This window comes from Homo sapiens, chromosome 5 (genome assembly GCF_000001405.40).
Source record: "Homo sapiens chromosome 5, GRCh38.p14 Primary Assembly".
NCBI lineage: Eukaryota > Metazoa > Chordata > Mammalia > Primates > Hominidae > Homo > Homo sapiens.
Window position 1 is genome coordinate 159,143,582 of NC_000005.10, and position 19,174 is coordinate 159,162,755.

The 19,174-nt window shown below is 39.8% G+C and overlaps 1 protein-coding gene across 7 annotated transcripts in view, besides 2 other annotated features; it reads right to left on the minus strand.

Annotated features, from left to right (window-relative positions):
* Window positions 13,506–13,635: an enhancer, noted in NCBI's record as "active region_23540". NCBI's record gives its function as "activates an Ori minimal core promoter by ATAC-STARR-seq in GM12878 lymphoblastoid cells {active_cell/tissue: GM12878}" and the evidence as "EXISTENCE:reporter gene assay evidence [ECO:0000049][PMID:35858748]".
* RNF145 (ring finger protein 145) overlaps window positions 13,828–19,174 on the minus strand; it is a 52,645-nt gene continuing 47,298 nt past the window's right edge. For all 7 annotated transcript variants that reach the window (NM_001199380.2, NM_001199383.2, XM_017009138.3 and 4 more), the window contains exons 10-11: window positions 17,685–18,041; window positions 13,828–15,454 (exon numbers count right to left, since the gene is read on the minus strand). In NM_001199380.2, the coding sequence (NP_001186309.1) occupies window positions 15,089–15,454; window positions 17,685–18,041 (723 nt within the window). In that variant the 3' untranslated portion in view covers window positions 13,828–15,088. The remainder of the gene's footprint in view (window positions 15,455–17,684; window positions 18,042–19,174) is intronic.
* Window positions 17,551–18,750: an enhancer, noted in NCBI's record as "CDK7 strongly-dependent group 2 enhancer chr5:158588140-158589339 (GRCh37/hg19 assembly coordinates)". NCBI's record gives its function as "activates an origin of replication core promoter dependent on BRD2, BRD4, P300/CBP, MED14 and CDK7 cofactors, with strong dependence on CDK7, by STARR-seq in HCT116 cells {active_cell/tissue: HCT116}" and the evidence as "EXISTENCE:reporter gene assay evidence [ECO:0000049][PMID:35650434]".

Sequence of the window (19,174 nt, forward strand, 5' to 3'; positions counted from 1 at the left end):
AAAAACTGGAAGCATTCCCTTTGAAAACTGGCAGAAGACAAGGATGCCCTCTCTCACCACTCCTATTCAACATAGTATTGGAAGTTCTGGCCCGGGCAATCAGGCAAGAGGAAGAAATAAAGGGTATTCAATTAGGAAAAGAGGAAGTCAAATTGTCCCTGTTTGCAGATGAAATGATTGTCTATTTAGAAAACCCCATTGTCTCAGTCCAAAATCTCCTTAAGCCGATAAGAAACTTCAGCAAAGTCTTAGGATACAAAATCAATGTGCAAAAATCACAAGCATTCCTATACACCATTAACAGACACACAGAGAGCCAAATCATGAGTGAACTCCCATTCACAATTGCTACAAAGAGAATGAAATACCTAGGAATCCAAGTTACAAGGTATGTGAAGGACCTCTTCAAGGAGAACTACAAACCACTGCTCAACGAAATAAGAGGACACAAACAAATGGAAGAACATTCCATGCTCATGGATAAGAAGAATCAATATCGTGAAAATGGCCATACTGTCCAAGGTAATTTATAGATTCAATGCCATCCCCATCAAGCTACCTATGACTTTCTTCACAGAATTGGAAAAAACTACTTTAAAGTTCATACGGAACCAAAAAAGAGCCTGCATTGCCAAGTCAGTCCTAAGCAAAAAGGACAAAGCTGGAGGCATCACGCTACCCGACTTCAAACTATATTACAAGGCTGCAGTAACCATAACAGCATGATACTGGTACCAAAACAGAGATATAGACCAATGGAACAGAACAGAGGCCTCAGAAATAACACCACACATCTACAACCATCTGATCTTTGACAAACCTGACAAAAACAAGAAATAAGGAAAGAATTCCCTATTTAATAAATGGTGCTGGGAAAACTGGCTAGCCATATGTAGAAAGCTGAAACTGGATCCCTTCCTTACACCTTATACAAAAATTAGTTCAAGATGGATTAAAGACTTAAATGTTAGACCTAAAACCATAAAAACCCTAGAAGAAAACCTAGGCAATACCATTCAGGACATAGGCATGGGCAAAGACTTCATGACTAAAACACCAAAAGCAATGGCAACAAAAGCCAAAATTGACAAATGGGATCTAATTAAACTAAAGAGTTCTGCACAGCAAAAGAAACTACCATCAGAGTAAACAGGCAACCTACAGAATGGGAGAAAATTTTTGCAATCTCCCCATCTGACAAAGGGCTAGTATCCAGAATCTACAAAGAACTTAAACAAATTTACAACAACAACAACAACAACAAGAAAAACAACCCCATCAAAAAGTGGGTGAAGGATATGAACAGACACTTCTCAAAAGAAGACATTTATGCAGCCAACAGACACATGAAAAAATGCTCATCATCACTGGTCATCAGAGAAATGCAAATCAAAACCACAGTGAGATGCCATCTCACGCCAGTTAGAATGGTGATCATTAAAAAGTCAGGAAACAACAGATGCCGGAGAGGATGTGGAGAAATAGGAAGGTTTTTACACTGTTGGTGGGAGGGTAAATTAGTTCAACCATTGTGGAAGACAGTGTGGCGATTCCTCAAGGATCTAGAACTAGAAATACCATTTCACTCAGCCATCCCATTACTGGGTATATACCCAAAGGATTATAAATCATGCTACTATAAAGACACATGCTCATGTATGTTTATTGCAGCACTATTCACAATAGCAAAGACTTGGAACCAACCTAAATGTCCATCAATGATAGACTGGATTAAGAAAATGTGGCACATATACACCATGGAATACTATGCAGCCATAAAAAAGGATGACTTCATGTCCTTTGCAGGGACATGGATGAAGCTGGAAACCATCATTCTCAGCAAACTATCACAAGGACAGAAAACAAAACAGCGCATGTTCTCACTCATAGGTGGGAATTGAACAATGAGAACACTTGGACACAGGGTGGGGGACATCAAATGCCAGGGCCTGTCAGGGGGTGGGTGGCTGGGGGAGGGATAGCATTAGGAGAAATACCTAATGTAAATGACAAGTTGATGTGTGCAGCAAACCAACGTGGCACATGTATACCTATGTATCAAACCTGCACATTGTGCACATATACCCTAAAACTTAAAGTATAATAATAATAAAAAAAAGCAACTACCAAAAAGGAATAATGATCTTCAGGGGTCACGGATAACATAAATGTTGGGATCTGGGTAGGACCTAGTGAACTGGGTGGGTGGGAGGGAGTAAGTGCCTGTTAAAGGGCAGAAGCCCCTGGGCTCCTGATGAATATTATGGTGGAAATGGGCTGAGACCTTCTAATTTTTCCAAAGAATCCAGGAATCCATACTTTTTGTGTGAAATCTCACCTTTTTTATTTTTTCGAGACAGTGTCTCACTGTGTCACCCAGGCTGGAGTGCAGTGGTGTGATCACAGCTCATTGCGGCCTCCCTCAACGTCATGGGCTCAAGCAATTCCCTCAGCCTCCCAAGTAGATGGAACCACAGGTGTGCACCACCACACCAGCTAATTTTTGCATTTTTTACAGAGACCAGGTCTCCCTGTGTGGCCCAGCCTGGTCTTGAACTTCTGGCCTCAAGTGATACTTCCACCTCAGCCTCCCAAAGTGGGAGTTCATACTTAGCATAGTGGTTCATAGAAGTATGAACTACCATACACAGCCTGATTTTTAAATGTTCAATTTTTTTAGAATCACCATCCAAGCAAAACAAAAGAAGTTTGCCAGTCAGATTCAGCTCACAGATGCCAGTTCGCCAGGTCTGAGCCCCAAAATTAGCAGCAGCATGAAAGTCATTGAACTTGCCTGATGCTGATTTAAGAGAAGATTGGTTGTTGAGAATACCAAGGTTCAGAGTGGAGGAAATCATGCTACAAACCAGGCACACTGTCGCGAGAAGATCTATCTCAGGTGTCAACGGCAACAGAACAGCAAAGTGCTGATCTCTTGGGACACTGTGATTCCCAAGCTTTGGTGCACGCTGGAATCACTAAGGGAGCTTCTAAGAATTCCCGTCCCTAGCCCAACAAAATTAGAATGTCTGGGTGTAGGACCCCAGGTGATCTCAATGTGCAGCAAAGTTTGAGAACCACTATGCTAAGGGACTCTCTCTTGAGTCTGAGAACCTGTCTCCACAGTGTTGATAAAGCTGGTTTTGGGGGAGCGGCGGGTATGCCTCACAGAAGGCAAGGCAGTATACTCAGTTGTAAAGATTTGAAGGTTTTCCCACATCTGGTGAAAAGGAATCTGGGAGCGACAAGCTTAAATCCATCCTTAGTGACTGAATTTACGAGCAGTGGACTTTGCCAACAGCCATGGTTAGGTAGAAAAGTTTGGTGCTCCTTTAAAAAAATAATCACACTTTATTGTTATCATTTAACTGTGAGTCTTCCAAGTGCCCCATGAGAGTTCTGTGAGGGCAGGGGTGATGTCTGGTGTTAGTCTGCATCTGGTTCCTAAGGGCTACTTACAAATGTGTATTGGTGAGATGCCATGGAGACGTAGGGAAAGCAAGCTACTAGCTGGGAACAGGGAGGGCTTGCGGGTGGGACTCTGGAGAAAATGCCAGGTGTCTATATCAAAGAACAGGGGTGGGAGGTCTTCGGGGTGGGGGTCACCTTGTGGCAGCTACTGAATGAATGAAACTGGTGAAGTCCCCAGCACATAAAAGCATCCAGGAGTTACTTCCTAAGATGCTTTCCCTACTACCGCCTCCAATTTTAAGTGCAAGAATGAAAAATCCAAAAAATACGTGTCTGTGAATAAACACTGTAATGTATTGCTTAAGTGGATTCTGAAGCCAGACTGTGTAGGTGCAAGAACTTACTGCTGTGGACTTTGAGCAAGACATCAAACTCTGCCTCAGCTTCCTCATCTGGATATGTAGATGATAATGCCTACAGGGGGTTCTAAGGAGTTCATGAGTTATTCATAAAGGGATTAGAAGGCCACAGAGTGTGAGCTATTCTTTTCTTGGAGACTATCAGTAAAAAGGATATAGTTTGCTAATTATCAGATAAATGAAAATCAAAACCACAATGAGATATCATCTCACACCTGTTATAATAGAATCTCTATTATCAAAAAGTCAGAGGCTGGGCACGGTGGCTCATGTCTGTAATCCCAGCACTTTGGGAGGCCGAGGCAGACAGATCACCTGAAGTCAGGAGTTTGAGACCAGCGTGGCCAACACGGTGAAACCCCGTCTCTACTAAAAATACAAATGTTAGCCTGGTGTGGTGGCTAGTGCCTGTAATCCCAGCTACTGGGGAAGCGTGGGGGAGAGAATTGCTTGAACCTGGGAGGCAGAGGTTGCAGTGAGCCGAGATCGCGCCACTGTACTCCAGCCTAGGCAACAAGAGTGAGACTCCGTCTCAAAAAAAAAAAAAAAAAGTCAGAAGATAACAAGAGTTACCAAGAATATGGAGAAAAGGGAGCCCTTGTAATCCGTTGATGGGAATGTAAACTTGCACAGCCATATGAAAAACAGTATGGAGATTCCTCAAAAAATTAAAAATAGAACTACCACATCATCCAGCAATCCTATCTGGGTATATATCCAAAGGAAATGAGATCAGTAGCCCAAAGAGGTATCTGCATATCTGTGTTTATTGCAGCATTATTCACAATAGCTAAGATATGGAAATAACCTGTCTGTTGATAGATGATTTGATTTTAAAAATGTGGTATGTGTGCATACACATATACACATGATGGAATATTATTCAGCATAAAAAGGAAGGAAATCCTGCCATTTGCAACAACATGGAGGAACCTGAAGGACATTATGCTAAGTGAAATAAGATGCATAAAGACAAATACCACATGATCTCACTTATACATAAAATGCAAAAAAGTCAAACTCATAGAAACAGAAGGGATTGGGGCTAGGGAAAATGGGGAGATGTTGGTCAAAGGTACAGACTTTCAGTTATGAGATGAATACGTTCTGGAGACCCAATGTGCAGCATGGTGACTGTAGTTAATGATACCGTATAGTATACTTGATATTTGCTTAGAGTGAACCTTAAGTGTTCTCACTACATATGGGAAAAAAAGGGAAACTGTGAGGTGATGGATATGTAAATTAGCTTGATTGTGGTGATATTTTACAATATATACACATATCAAACATCATGTACACCTTAAATATATACAATTGTCATTCATCAATTATACCTCAATAAAACTAGAACAAATAACTAAATAAATAAATATAAATAGTATGGTTTTAAAAAAGAAAGTAAAAAGGACATAGTGTTTCTTTTGATGTATGTGTCAGATGTTTGGATAACATGGACCATTAGCTCAGTTGACCAGAACAGAGGGTAAATAAGGCCTGGGGGGGTCAAAGCCCAAGGAGGAGAGGAAAGGCAAATAGTTCTCTAGTTTTCAGACTATTTCTCTCTTTAAGTACATGGTAGTAGTCACTGCAAGAATTGGTTAATTCAGTGAGAATGACTAGGCACACACTGATCTCCTCATCCCCATGCTGGTGGGGGGCAGTTGGCGGGGGACCCTCAAAGTTCATGTCATACAATGATGTGTTACTAATTGTCCTTTTTTTTTTTTTTCCAAGACAGGGTCTTACTTCATCACCCAGTCTGGAGTGCAGTAACACAATCATGGCTCACTGCAGCTCCGACCTCCCAGGCTCAGGCGATCCTCCGGCTTCAGCTTCCCAAGTAGCTGGGACCACAGCTGGGAGTACAACTGTGCCTCCACATCCAGCTAATTTTTCATATTTTATGTAGAGACAGGATTTCGTCATGTTGCCCAGGCTAGTCTCAAATTTCTCAAGAGATCTGCCCGCCTCCCAAAGTGCTGGGGTTACAGGCATGAGCCACCGCGCCTGGCCAAATGGTACTTTCCTACTAGATTCTGAATGTATCACATTGCATCTGAGTTTATTGAATTCCATCCAACCATCTTTTTATAATTTTTATTTTATTTCAATGGTTTTTGGGATACAGGTGGTTTTTAGTTACATGGATAAGTTCTTTAGTGGTGAGTTCTGATATTTCAGTGCACCCATCACCTGAGCACCGTACACTGTACTCAATATGTAGTCTTTTATTTCTCACCCCCTTCCACCCTTTCCCCCAAGTCCCCAACATGCATCGTATTGTTCTTATGCCTTTGCATGCTCATAGATTAGCCCTCACTTATAAGGGAGAACAAACGATATTTGGTTTTCCATTCCTGAGTTACTTTACTTAGAATAATGGCCTCCAGCTCCATCCAAGTTGCTGCAAAGGCCATTATTTTGTTCCGTTTTATGGCTGAGTAGTATTCCTTGATATATGCCACACTTTCTTTGTCCATTCGTTGGCTAATGGGCTTTTGGTTTGGTTCCATATTTTTGCAATTGTGAATTGTGCTGCTATAAACATGAGTTTACATGTGTCATTTTCATATAATGACTTCTTTTCCTTTGGGTAGATACCCAGTAGTGGGATTGCTGGATCTAATGATAGTTCTACCTTTAGTTATTTAAGGAGTCTCCATACTGTTTTCCATAGTGATTGTATTAGTTTACATTCCCTAATATTTTCTCCCATTCTATGGGTTGTCTGTTTACTCTGCTAATTATTTCTTTTGCTGTGCAGAAGCTTTTTAGCTTAATTAGGTCTCATTTATTTATCTTTGTTTTTGTTGCATTTGCTTTTGGGTTCTTGGTCATGAACTCTTTGTCTAGGCCAGTGTCTAGAAGAGTTCTTCCAATATTATCTTCTAGAATTTTCATGGTTTCAGGTCTTAGATTTAAGTCTTTAATCCATCTTGAGTTGATTTTTGTATGAAGTGAGAGATAAGAATCCAGTTTCACTCTTCTACATGTGGTTTGCCAGTTTTCCCAGCATCATTTATTGAATAGGGTGTCCTTTCCCCAGTTGATATTTTTGTACGTTTTGTTGAAGATCAGTTGGCTGTATTCGGCTTTATTTCTGGATTTTCTATTCTGTTCCATTGGTCTACATGCCTATTTTTATACCAGTACCATGCTGTTTGGGTAACTATAGCAGTGTAGTATAATTTGAAGTTAGGTAATGTGATGCCTCCAGATTTGTTCTTTTTGCTTAGTACTGCTTTGACTATGTGGGCTCTTTTTTGGTTCCACATGAATTTTAGGATTGTTTTTTCTAGTTCTGTGAAGAATGATGATGGCATTTAGATGGGAATTGCATTGAATCTGTAGATTTCTTTGGATAGTATGGTCATTTTCACATTGATTCTACCCATCCATGAGCATGGGATGTGTTTCCATTTGTTTGTGTTCTCTCTGATTTCTCTCAGTAGTGTTTTGTAGTTTTCTTTGTAGAGATCTTTCACCTCCTTGGTTATGTATATTCCTAAGTATTTTTTTTTGTAGCTGTTGTAAAAGGGATTGAATTCTTGATTTGATTCTCAGCTTGGTTGTTGTTGATGTATAGTGATGCCCCTGATTTTTGTACATTGATTTTGTATCCTGAGACCTTTACTGCATTCATTTATCATATCTAGGAGCTTTTCAGATGAGTCTTTAGGGTTTTCTAGGTATATGATCATATCATTGTTGAACAGTGACAGTTTGAATTCCTCTTTTCCAATTTCGATGCCCTTTATTTCTTTCTCTTGCCTGATTGCCTTGGCTGGAACTACCAGTACTACATTGAATAGAAATGGTAAAAATGGGCAGCCTTGTCTTGTTCCAGTTCTCAGGGAAAATGCTTTCAACTTTTCCCAATTCAGTATGATGTTGGCTTTGGGTTTGACGTAGATGGCTTTTATTACTTTGAGGTATGTCCTTTCTGTGCCAACTTTGTTGAGGGCTTTTATCATAAAGGGATGCTGGATTTTATAAAATGTTCTTTCTGCATCTATTGAGATGATCATATGATTTTTTGTTTTTAATTCTGCTTATGTGATATATCACATTTATTGACCTGTATATGTTAAACCATCCCTGCATCCCTGGTGTGAAACCTACTTGATCATAATGTATTATCTTTTTGATAGGCTGTTGGATTGGGTTAGCTAGTATTTTGTTGAGGATTTTTGCATCTATGTTTATCAGTGATATTGGGCTGCAGTTTTCTTTTTTTGTTGCATCCACACATCTCCTAAGTGGAATGTAATCTATATATACACATACATTTGACTAAGCAAAATGTTTGTTTTTATTTGCATGTGTGATTTAAGAAGTATATTTCGGCCCCATATTACATTAAAAATATTCAAGTTCTGGCTGGGCACGGTGGCTCGCCTGTAAGTGAGGTGGGATTACGCCTGTAATCCCAACACTTTGGGAGGCTGAGGTGGGCAGATCAGTCCCAGCTACTAGGGAGGCTGAGGCAGGAGACTCGCTTAAACCCACGAGGCGGAGGTTACAGTGAGCCAAGATCACACCAATGCACTACAGCATGGGCAACAGAGCAAGACTCGGTCTTAAAAATAAATTAATTAATTAAATTAAATATTCAAGTTTTTTCTAAGTAGTTAATATTGCGTCTCATCTTTTTAAAAATAAAGTTGTTTTTTCCTTTCCCTTGAAATAACAAGTACACTTTGGTGGCAAGCATTTCTTTTCCTTTTTTTTGTTATTATTATTATTATTATTATTACTATTATTTTGAGACAGGGTCTCGCTCTGTCACCCTGGCTGGAGTGCAGTGGCATGATCACAGCCACTGCAGCCTTGACCTCCCCAGTTTGGCAATCCTCCCACCTCAGCCTCCCGAGCAGCTAGGATTACAGGCACATGCCACCATGCCTGGCTAATTTTTAATTTTTTGTAGAGACAGGTTCTCCCTATGTTGCCCAGGCTGATCTCAATCTCCCGGGCTCAAAACATCTTCCCTCCTCAGCCTCCCAAAGTGCTGGGATTACAGGTGTGAACCACCTCACCCAGCTGAGCATATTCATTTATCAGGTATCATTTGTTCAAGCTATATGTGCTTTTTTTCTTCTTAAATGTAGAAGAAACTAAAAAACCTAAACCCATAACAAAAGATAAATGGCAATGGCATGGAGGCAGGCTGTAAGCCTGTGAGATACAGGTTGAAAGTCTAAAATGTTATGATACAAGTTAGCTCAGCGAATTGGCTTCCTTCTCCTGTGAACATACTTTTCTAACATACATGGCCTTTCCGATATCAGTCCCCCACCAGCAACAGCACCAGCACCAAAACACATACAGAGGTCACCATCTCGCAAGTTTATTCGTTTGAGTTGCACAATGTAGCTCATAATTACAAAAATAAACATAATGGCCCCCTTAAAACTTGGGCTTTCTTTTTAGGGGTAGGGGATGAGTTTCAAGGTAATTTTGGGAAGATGACTTCAGAAAAGATTTTCTAATCAACTAGAGAAAAAAAATGGGAATTTACAATGTTTATGTCTATCTATCCCTCACATGTGTTTCTTAGGACGATTTAATACTTATCTTGGGAAGGAAGCAGTTTTATATTTTAAAATTCTCTAAACTAAGGCTTGACTCCTATTTTAAACACAGCCCATCTGTTCCTGCAAATAGTGTGATTACACAGTCTGCACAGATCTGTGGCTTTAACTAATATGCAGAAGGCATTTTTATATTAAATGGTACGTATTTAATATTAAATGTTGGTATTTTGTAGCCAACAGTTTCCAACTCCAAATCTTGATGGGTTGTGGCTTGCCATATACTAAGATTTATTCTACATCCCATATTTTTTTACTGTTTGTTTTCCCTTTTTACATAATTTGCCAGACGTTTGATCTCAAATTGATAATTTTAAATATTATAATATCTCAGAAATTGTTTCAGATTTTCACATCTCTCGTGTAACATCTTTAAAGTTAATATAAGTTTTATTGAATGCAGCAAAATACACATGGGTGTTTGGATCTTTTTGAGGTGAGAAGGTGTAACGGAAAGAGCATTGGACTGGATTCAGGAGACCTGAGCACCCTTCCCCGCTTTGCCATCAATTGTGTGGCCTTGGACACATCGATAATTGGCTCTCTTGTAAAGTAGGACCACTGATCTAGATCTCTGAAGGCTGGTTTGCTTCCAAAATTCTGTGATTCTTTAATTCCATATGCTTGGGAAAGAGGAGGTGGAGGGGGTGCTAACAGCATTTTACCTTCAAATATAAATAGCTTGAGACACTTTTGGGTGGTCAACCAACCAAAAAAGGTTGGTAGATTAGGCCAGATGGCACATGCACACCTGCATAATGTGTCGGCCAGGCTTTGCTGCTTCACTGCAGAAACCCCATCGGTTGTAATGTTTGCTGAAATCCTTAACCACCAATGTTTCCCAGAGGCAAACCTCATGTGTATTTCTTCTCTAAGAATCTTCTTCCATAAAAATGGTAGATCCAAGAACAAGCAGCCCCCTCTCACTGAAATAGCAGGAATATTTAAATGAAAGGTACTCACATTTCCATAGAATCAGAATCATCTGAAAAATTGGAAAAGGTAAGATACCAGGCTCCATCCCAAACCTACCCAGTCAGAATCTATGGCACTGGGTCTAGGCATCGTATTTTTCTTTTTTTTTTTTTTTGAGATGGAGTCTCAACTCTGTTGCCCAGGCTGGAGTGCAGTGGCACGATCTTGGCTCACTGCAACCTCCACCTCCCAGGTTCAAGTGATTCTCCTGCCTCAGCCTCCCAAGCAGCTGGGATTATAAGCATGTGCCACCACACCTGGCTAATTTTTGTATTTTTACTAGAGACGGGGTTTCACCATGTTGGTCAGGCTGGTCTTGAACTCCTGACCTCAGGTGATCCACCCGCCTCAGCCTCCCTAAGTGCTAGGATTACAGGCGTGAGGCACTGTGCCCGGCCGGCATTGTATTTTTCACAAGCTTCCCAACCTGCTTCCAACGCCCATCAAAGGTTGAGAAACACTGCTCATGGAACAACTTGGTGATACCAAAATGCAAAATTCTAGCATAGATCCAAATTGAAAATATCTTCAAATAAAACACTTGCTCATTGATTTTTTTTTTCTTTTACTGCACTCCGGTCATTAAAGAAAAACAAACAGGTTCTATACTTCCATAAATGAATGTCAAATTTATACACATTGCTTCTGGTTTTTAATCTTTTCACTTTAATCAATACCGAATATCTGCACTATACATATTCATATAGGATTTGACTGTGATTAAATGAGATGTCGAATTTGCCCAGTGTTCACTTACGGCATCCTCTAAGCAAACGGAAGAGTCTGATGACAGCAATCTAATTTGCTAGAGCAAGCTGTGGTGGAGACGACAGGGGTGAATTAGAAACTCAGCCCATCCCAGCTTATGCGGACTGTTGCCAAGCAAGGATGAGTGGCCTATGCAGCCAGCACTTCCAATTTTTCACAAGAAAATAGAAATTGAGTTTGTCATATACAATCTTGCAATTTTTAAATGGTTGGCAACTGATTCAAATATTTTTTAAAATATCATTTAAAAATGTACCATTGAGGCTGGGCATGGTGGCTCATGCCTGTAATTCCAACACTTTGGGAAGCCGAGGCGGGTGGATCACTTGAGGCCAGGAGTTCGAGACCAGTCTGGCCAACCTGGTGAAACTCTGTCTCTATTAAAATACAAAAATTAGCTAGGTGTGGTGGCACATGTCTGTAATCCCAGCTACTCGGGAGACTGAGGCAGGAGAATCACTTGAACCCGGGAAACGGAGGTTGCAGTGAGCTGAGATTGTGACATTGCACTCCAGCCTGGGTGACAGAGCAAGACTCCATCTCAAAAAAATAAATAAAATAAAATAAATCTATCACTGAGGCCTAACAACAAAGCAAAATTTATCAGCCCAGATTTCCCCCAGAAGGCCCCAAATTTGTAATTTCTGCTCTAGAAACTGAGTTCAGGATCTGATCAGTTAAGACGATCAAAACCCACTCACAGAAATTACTTCATTTAGTTGCCATGCAATATTATGCTCTCTGCCTCTGGAAAGAATAGAATTCTCTGCCATTTTTAAACTACAGGGTGGATATGAGGAGCCACCTGCTAAGTTCCTTTGTTCATTCTGTAGATATTTAGAGTGCTCCTGCCCTATACCAGACACTGGGAACACAGTGGTGAACCGAATCTTAGGTAAGTTTAATATGTAGCACAGCATATTAAAAAAAAAAATGAAGCATCTGTCTCTAGTTTAAAACTGTTCAAAAATATGAAGCTCATTACTCAGTCAGTGGTGAGGATTAAAAATACAGATGGGCAAAACCTGAAACAGAATGACACTTCAGTGATGATTTTTTTTCAGATGAGGCTGATGCCCAGAAAAACAAAGGCTAATCAAAGATCACAGAGGACTTAGAATTATAATCCAGAGCTCCTGCCCTTAGTGCAAGCCCCTTTTATCCCTCTGTGCTGTCCATTTCCCTAAATCCAAGAGGACTGATAAAGGATTGTCACAGTACTAATTTTGATGGCAAAGTGCATAAGGTGACAGACCTTATTACAAAGTTTTTAAGGGAATATTGATGCGTGAAAATAGGTATGCACTGTCTGAAAACACTGGAAACCATTAAGTAGACAAGAAAAGTGACCTAAAAAGGACTCATAAGGGAACTGATGATTCTCTCAATTTGATCAAGCATAATAGAAGAGGAACTGAATCTAATTTTCTCATCTTCTCTTCAGTAGAACAAACCAGGTGGTTAAACTTTGTCTTCTTCCTAAGTCAAAAACTCTGCAGTGAGTTGGAAGCTATTACAAAATGGCTAGATTTTGAATACGGATGGCATTATACAATGCTACTGTCCAGTATGTAAGGACAAATAACAAATTAAGTCAGAGGTATATTTGGAACCATTCACAGGTGTGCTCCCAAATTTCAAATAATCTGTAAAATGAAGTTGCTCCACCAGAGTGCTGGTCACTGATATGCTCTCTTTCTAGGACGTGGAAGACAACTTCTGTGCTGTTGTGGCTGGTGGGGCCATATCAGTAGTTCCGGCCAAGGGAGTGAGTGGAAGTGACATGTCCATACCAGGGAGGAACGTGTAATTGCTGGTGTACAGCCTTGCAGTCTTCCCTTTGGCATGACCATCCAGAAAGTTCAATAGTGTCTGCACCAAACAGGATAGTGTCTGCACCAAACAGGATATCCTTGTAATGTACGTGCATGACATAAATCTTTGTGGTTTTAAAGCCACTATAATTTTGAGGTTTTCTGTTACAACCACATAATATATTCCTCCTGACACACAGTGACATTTGTCCAAAAGGCTACTAACACACTCATCTGATTTGGCATGTACAGCTGGGATCTATTTGCTATTAAGAAGTAAAAAGTGTATTATAATGTGGAAAGTAATTCCAAAGAACTCTACTTTTATTAAAATCCCAGATCATTACTGCTAGGTCTTTGGATAAGCAGCCTTCCTACCACTAGAGGGAGCTATCTGCTTTGTCTTCTGCCTAACACGGAGCACCAAAAAGATGATAAACTTCCAGCTACACCTGGGGAGAAATGAATTCTAGCCTAGATACTTTCCCCCCGCCAACAAGTCATACTGCCTTAGTGCTAGGCTAGCTGGATAGAAGCTCTGAAATGCTCAGGCACCCCAAAAGGCTGATTCAATCTGAATCAGAAGTAAGGTTCAGAAATGTGTACTTTTTTAAAATAAAAAGCTTCCCAAACACTTCTGAAGCACAGGTAAGTTTGCTAACACTGGGTGTAGAAGATTTCAAAAGAAATGGTCCTTTTCAATCAAAGAGTTTTGCCATCTACAGGGCATTTCTGACAAGGATCAACATGTAAGTCCAACTAAATTAAAAACAGAACCTCCTAAGAACAGAACTTCAAAAAAAGCACTTTATAATGACAACAAACCACAAGAACAAAACATAATTATCTTCAAATTTAAATTTATTAAGACATTCAGCTATGTCTGTCAGTCTACATCCAAATTTGCTACTAAAAATAAAATAAAGTCACATCCCACATTAGGAATACCGAGGTCTGAAAAACACTTTTTGAGCCAAGCCTATTGTATAAATAAATGACTAGTTTCTTTTCATATCAAAATTCCCATAAAAAATTACATTCCCCCCTCCCCAGTTCTACCTGTAGCCATGATGAATGTAAAAATTTAAATATGACACATCCTTGTCAAAGAAAAGGTGCAAAGTCTATTAACAGCTTTAAAAGTGGCATTTGCAGAGTGTGATCATACAGTTATGTACTCATTCCCAAAGTGCAAATATTGCCATAATTTAACACTGTTTTGATTCAGTTGCAAGAATTAAACATTACACAGGATTGAAAAGTACACCCAGGGCCTCTATCAGTGCCCTAAAGCCCTTCCCACTTTGGTCTCCTTCACTAAAGCAGACTCCAAAGTGTTCATCAGAGTTTTAGTTTACTTCACACAGCCAGCGAAGTATACAACATATTTAACAAAAGTTTCATATACATCAAAATACTGAAGACTCCGTCATAAAGTTCAAGAGTCTCAGATTACATGAATGCACCCGCAAGGCCCAAGTGCCCACCCACCCCTTCCCTAAAGCACATACAAAGTATGAGCGTGCTTCAATCTTTGAATACAATCAATGCTTCTTCATCTTTGATTTCATTTCAGTGCTGTACAAGACTCAATAATCACCTGACTGAGCTCCAATTAACTGAGGAGAAACGGGGTGGAGGAGAGGGCTGGTTGCTATTCAGACTTGATAATGAGATTGATCTGTCCCATGGAGAGTGAAAGTTCAGTTCCACTTCTGCCTCCTTCTTTCCATGCTGTCCTCATGCTCTTTATCCTCACTTCCTCAGTCCCTTCAACACTCAAAATCTGATTTTATTTCTCTCTCACACGTATCAGGGGCAGTTTCTGAAGTTGCTGAGGTTGAATTTTCTTCACAAACCTCTATAAAACATCAGCAGAGAACATATAAATACATTTTGATTAGCATACATTGCAAAATTTCTCCCACAATGTCAGGGGATGAAAGCAGGTGGTCCCCACTGAGAGTACTTCCTGGATTAGATCCTTGGAATGTCAGTTTCCTGCCTGATCATCTCATTTTCATTCCTCAAATCAGAACATGAATTCCATCTTGAGTTAACTTCTCCTCCAGAGTATCAAAGCATCATTCCTGCTGCTTCTCCTCTAGGCTGATTCAACAGGATGTGCTTCATCTTTCGCACTGTGAGGATATTCTTTGGGGTCAAAAGCCCCTTCCTGGTTATCTGGTCGTCTGGCAATGTACTCATTATTGTCCCTGGAACCTTCCTGTATCCTGGTCCCTGGAGTATGCTCCTGGCCTGGGGGTTCAGTACCTTCCTGAAACATGACGTTTTGCTCAGCTCCAGCATGAGGCTGTAGAACTGGCTCAGTTCCTAATCCTGGAAGCTGGGAGGAGTTTTTCAGATGGCAGTGGCACAGAGGGCAGGTCTCCTGGACATACAGCCATTTCTTAAGACAGCCTGCATGGAAAAAATGACTGCAAGGCGTGATCACAGCAGATTTCATGTCCTAAAAGAGGGGGAAAAAAGATACCTTATAAATGTCTGTTTTCTAGTATCTTTGGTGCTATCCCCAAAGTTCTGGTTCTAACATCTCTTTCCCACAATAGAAAATTTGTAACATAGATCTTAGAATAAAACTTACTTTATATATCAGTAATAATCCTGCTGCCATCACAGATCCCCCTTATACAAATAATGCAAGAACTACTGGCTAAGTACTTTCTAAAAGTGAAGGAAAAACCAAAAATGAGGAAGAAGCTACCTTTATAACTGGGTTTTGCCTGAGTATGAAATGCAAGTGTTACACAATTGTTGCAGTATGATTACTGGGTCTCCACTGGTATGACAAGAGTATAATTACAACCTCAGAAAATCTGATGAAGACAGGACTTTTTCTACAGTTTTGCTTCAACACAGCTGAACAGTTTATAATGAAATTATTGGCAAAGAGACAAAATCGGCCATATAATACCAGGGTATTGGCAAGGAAGTGGCACTCTCTCATTACGGACAATGTATATACCCAGTTTTCAAGATTTGGTCTATATAAGCCAGTGTTTCTCAACTTGCATAAGAACCACTTGTTAACACATAGTCTTGGGCCACCCAAGACCTACTGAAGTGGGATATGTAACGATGGGATTCATAAAATCTATAGTTACAAGCCACCTGTGTGACTTTTATACACTCACATTTGATAACCACTGGAATAAGGAGTGGTGTACTTTGCATTAATATTCCTTGCATAAGATATATATGAAGAGAGAAGCCTGAAGACATGAAGTTAAAGTTATAAAGACATAACGTTTCGTGAATCAACCATTAATTTTGTTTCAAGTCCCAAAACAAGCAGGTGTGGATATCCCAGAAATTCCTTGCCAAGAACTGGTAACATCTGGGAGTCAACTTTTAAGCAGAAAGCCATCCAAGGAAAAGCAGCCAGCTGGGAAGCTAAGCAGTTTTACTCTCATTTTCGATGTGATATCAACAGGTAGTTCTAGCACCTCAAAAAAAGTGATGTGACAACAGGAAATACAAACAGGACTCTTGAATCCCCGAGATGGAATATTCAGACATCAGCGGCTGAAGCTGAGGTGCTCCGACTCTGTTTTTGATGTGCTTTGTCCTGAGTACAATGAGGCTACCTAGCACAAAAGAGCTAGGGTTCATTTTAATAATAAACACAACTAAGAGAATGGCTACTTTGAAGGGAGGCAGGAACCCTACATTACTCCTCAGACCCCTCAAATGCAAAACCGCCTGGAGAACATTGTTTAGCTAGGATCAAAAAGTATGTTCTAATCAAAATAAAAAATTGATAGCTGTATTTTACTATCAGAAAAAAATTAAATATGCACAAATTTAAATATACACAAATACATACATACCCCACCTAAACTACAAAAGCAATCCTGAAGTAAGAATATCCCCTGTATATTGTTGACACTATCTATAGTTTTATTCTACCAGCCTACACTCTTTGAGTGACTTTAAAAATGGGACATAGTTTCTGCTGTTGGCCATCATCTCTGTCCATTATTTCCAACAGTGCGGCCTCTTGCACAGGTGATTGATGATTAAACTCTAGGTCTTTTTGTTGTTGTTTTATTTCCAAAGTGATTTAAGTACTACCTTTAATTTGTAATAGAAGACAATCATCAGGCTCTTTATGGTGCATGTGCTAAAGACTATAGGTAGGCCAACTTCAATTTTACATCAGTTTGGTAGCCTTTACCATATTCACCCACTCCCACCAAATGCTTGTACCCTCGGATACTTAGCAACCCACAGGTGGGCACATATTCTCTCTACCTATGTTAGGTACATGAATATTTCTTCCCCACTCTGGAAATACTAGAGGGAAAAGAGTCAGAATTTTGGCACACCACTTTTCAGGAGTTGCTGACCCCTCATGGATAGTATATTCAATAGTCCGTGTGAGTGTGTATTCAGGAGTAAATATAAAATGCACCTGACCTGTTTTTCCTTTATTTATGGGTGAGCAATAATGTTGAAAACAACAATACATTAGAACCCAAGGGACTAAATTTAAAACTTAATTTAGAAATAAAATGGAAATATTTTATCAGGTCTTTAATATAATTTCTGAGGTCCATTTTTTTTAATCCAGAAGATAATTTTGCCTAGAAATTTAAGTTGAATTTGGTTAATATGGTTACAGTCCCAAGGGATACACTGTATGACTTACCCAAACACATTCTTATTGAAGGAGTTACCTGATAACAGATGGCACAAATATCATTGTGTTTCTCAAGCTGCTCTTTCGTAGCAATGGGTAACGATTTAATCTTATTCACAGCATCCCTGCGGAGAAGAAAGCTCTTCCACCCCAGCTGGGCCCGAAGCCACACGTTATAGTAGGAATGAATGAAGATGATCATTGAGCCCATCACTGTCCATTCTCCAAAGATGGTCTCTGAGACGCCATAGGCCACCACACAGAGGGCCACAAGAAACTCCAGCAGGCGGTAAGTGCCATTCACATAGTAGATGACATCATCCATGTTTTCCACTGGCTCTTTTCTGAATTCCTCAACCATAAATAAGACATAAATAAAAAGTGTTCCCAGAACCTGAAAAAAAAAAAAAAATGTACGTATCTTGAAATATGATCACTAAGATACTTTTTTCATAGGCTTTAAACAATAACACATTCCTGATGTTTTTAGGGTGCAATATTTCAAATATACAGAAGAGTATCCAGGGGAAAAAAAAGTTTTAATAAATAAAAAATCAACTCTAAAGAGAAGACACTGATGACTAAAATGTGGGTGATCTTAGTAATCCAGGCATAGAAAACAAAAAGCCACACCGTCAGACGTGACTTTCCTAAAATGATTCTGATGAGTAATCAATTTTTTGATTCATCTTTTTCCCTTATTCCTTAGGTCACCAAACCTCATCAACTCCATCTTAATTTTCCTCATACCATAGTCATTCCTGTTCTACAACTCGCAAAGAAGTTTTACTTCTGCAAAAAAATAATGAATAACTCTTCACTGTGTTATGTTTTCCTTTACCTAGGTAGCAAAGATCTTCCTTTAAGTTACAATAAGCTTATCATTTCTAGGGCAATATTTTGTGTGTGCATGTCTGTGAAACATGTATCATGTCTGTATGTGTGCAATACACACACATCATATACATATATATTTATATACATCGTGGAACTATTGGTATTTTTGAGTGGAATTTAAAAAACACACTCCAAATAAGCTCTAACACAAGCTCTAAAAACTTTTAATATTTTAGTTACTTGTCAATTTAAGATTTATATGACACCTCTGTATCATACCATTTTGAAAAAGAGAAACTGAAAGGCTTAATTACCTTCATAAAAAATACAGTGACATCAATAGGTTTATGTAATATTTTCTTTTTTTTTTTTTTTTTTTTGAGACGGAGTCTCGCTCTGTCGCCCAGGCCGGACTGCGGACTGCAGTGGCGCAATCTCGGCTCACTGCAAGCTCCGCTTCCCGGGTTTACGCCATTCTCCTGCCTCAGCCTCCCGAGTAGCTGGGACTACAGGCGCCCGCCACCGCGCCCGGCTAATTTTTTGTATTTTTAGTAGAGACGGGGTTTCACCTTGTTAGCCAGGATGGTCTCGATCTCCTGACCTCATGATCCACCCGCCTCGGCCTCCCAAAGTGCTGGGATTACAGGCGTGAGCCACCGCGCCCGGCCGGTTTATGTAATATTTTCATAA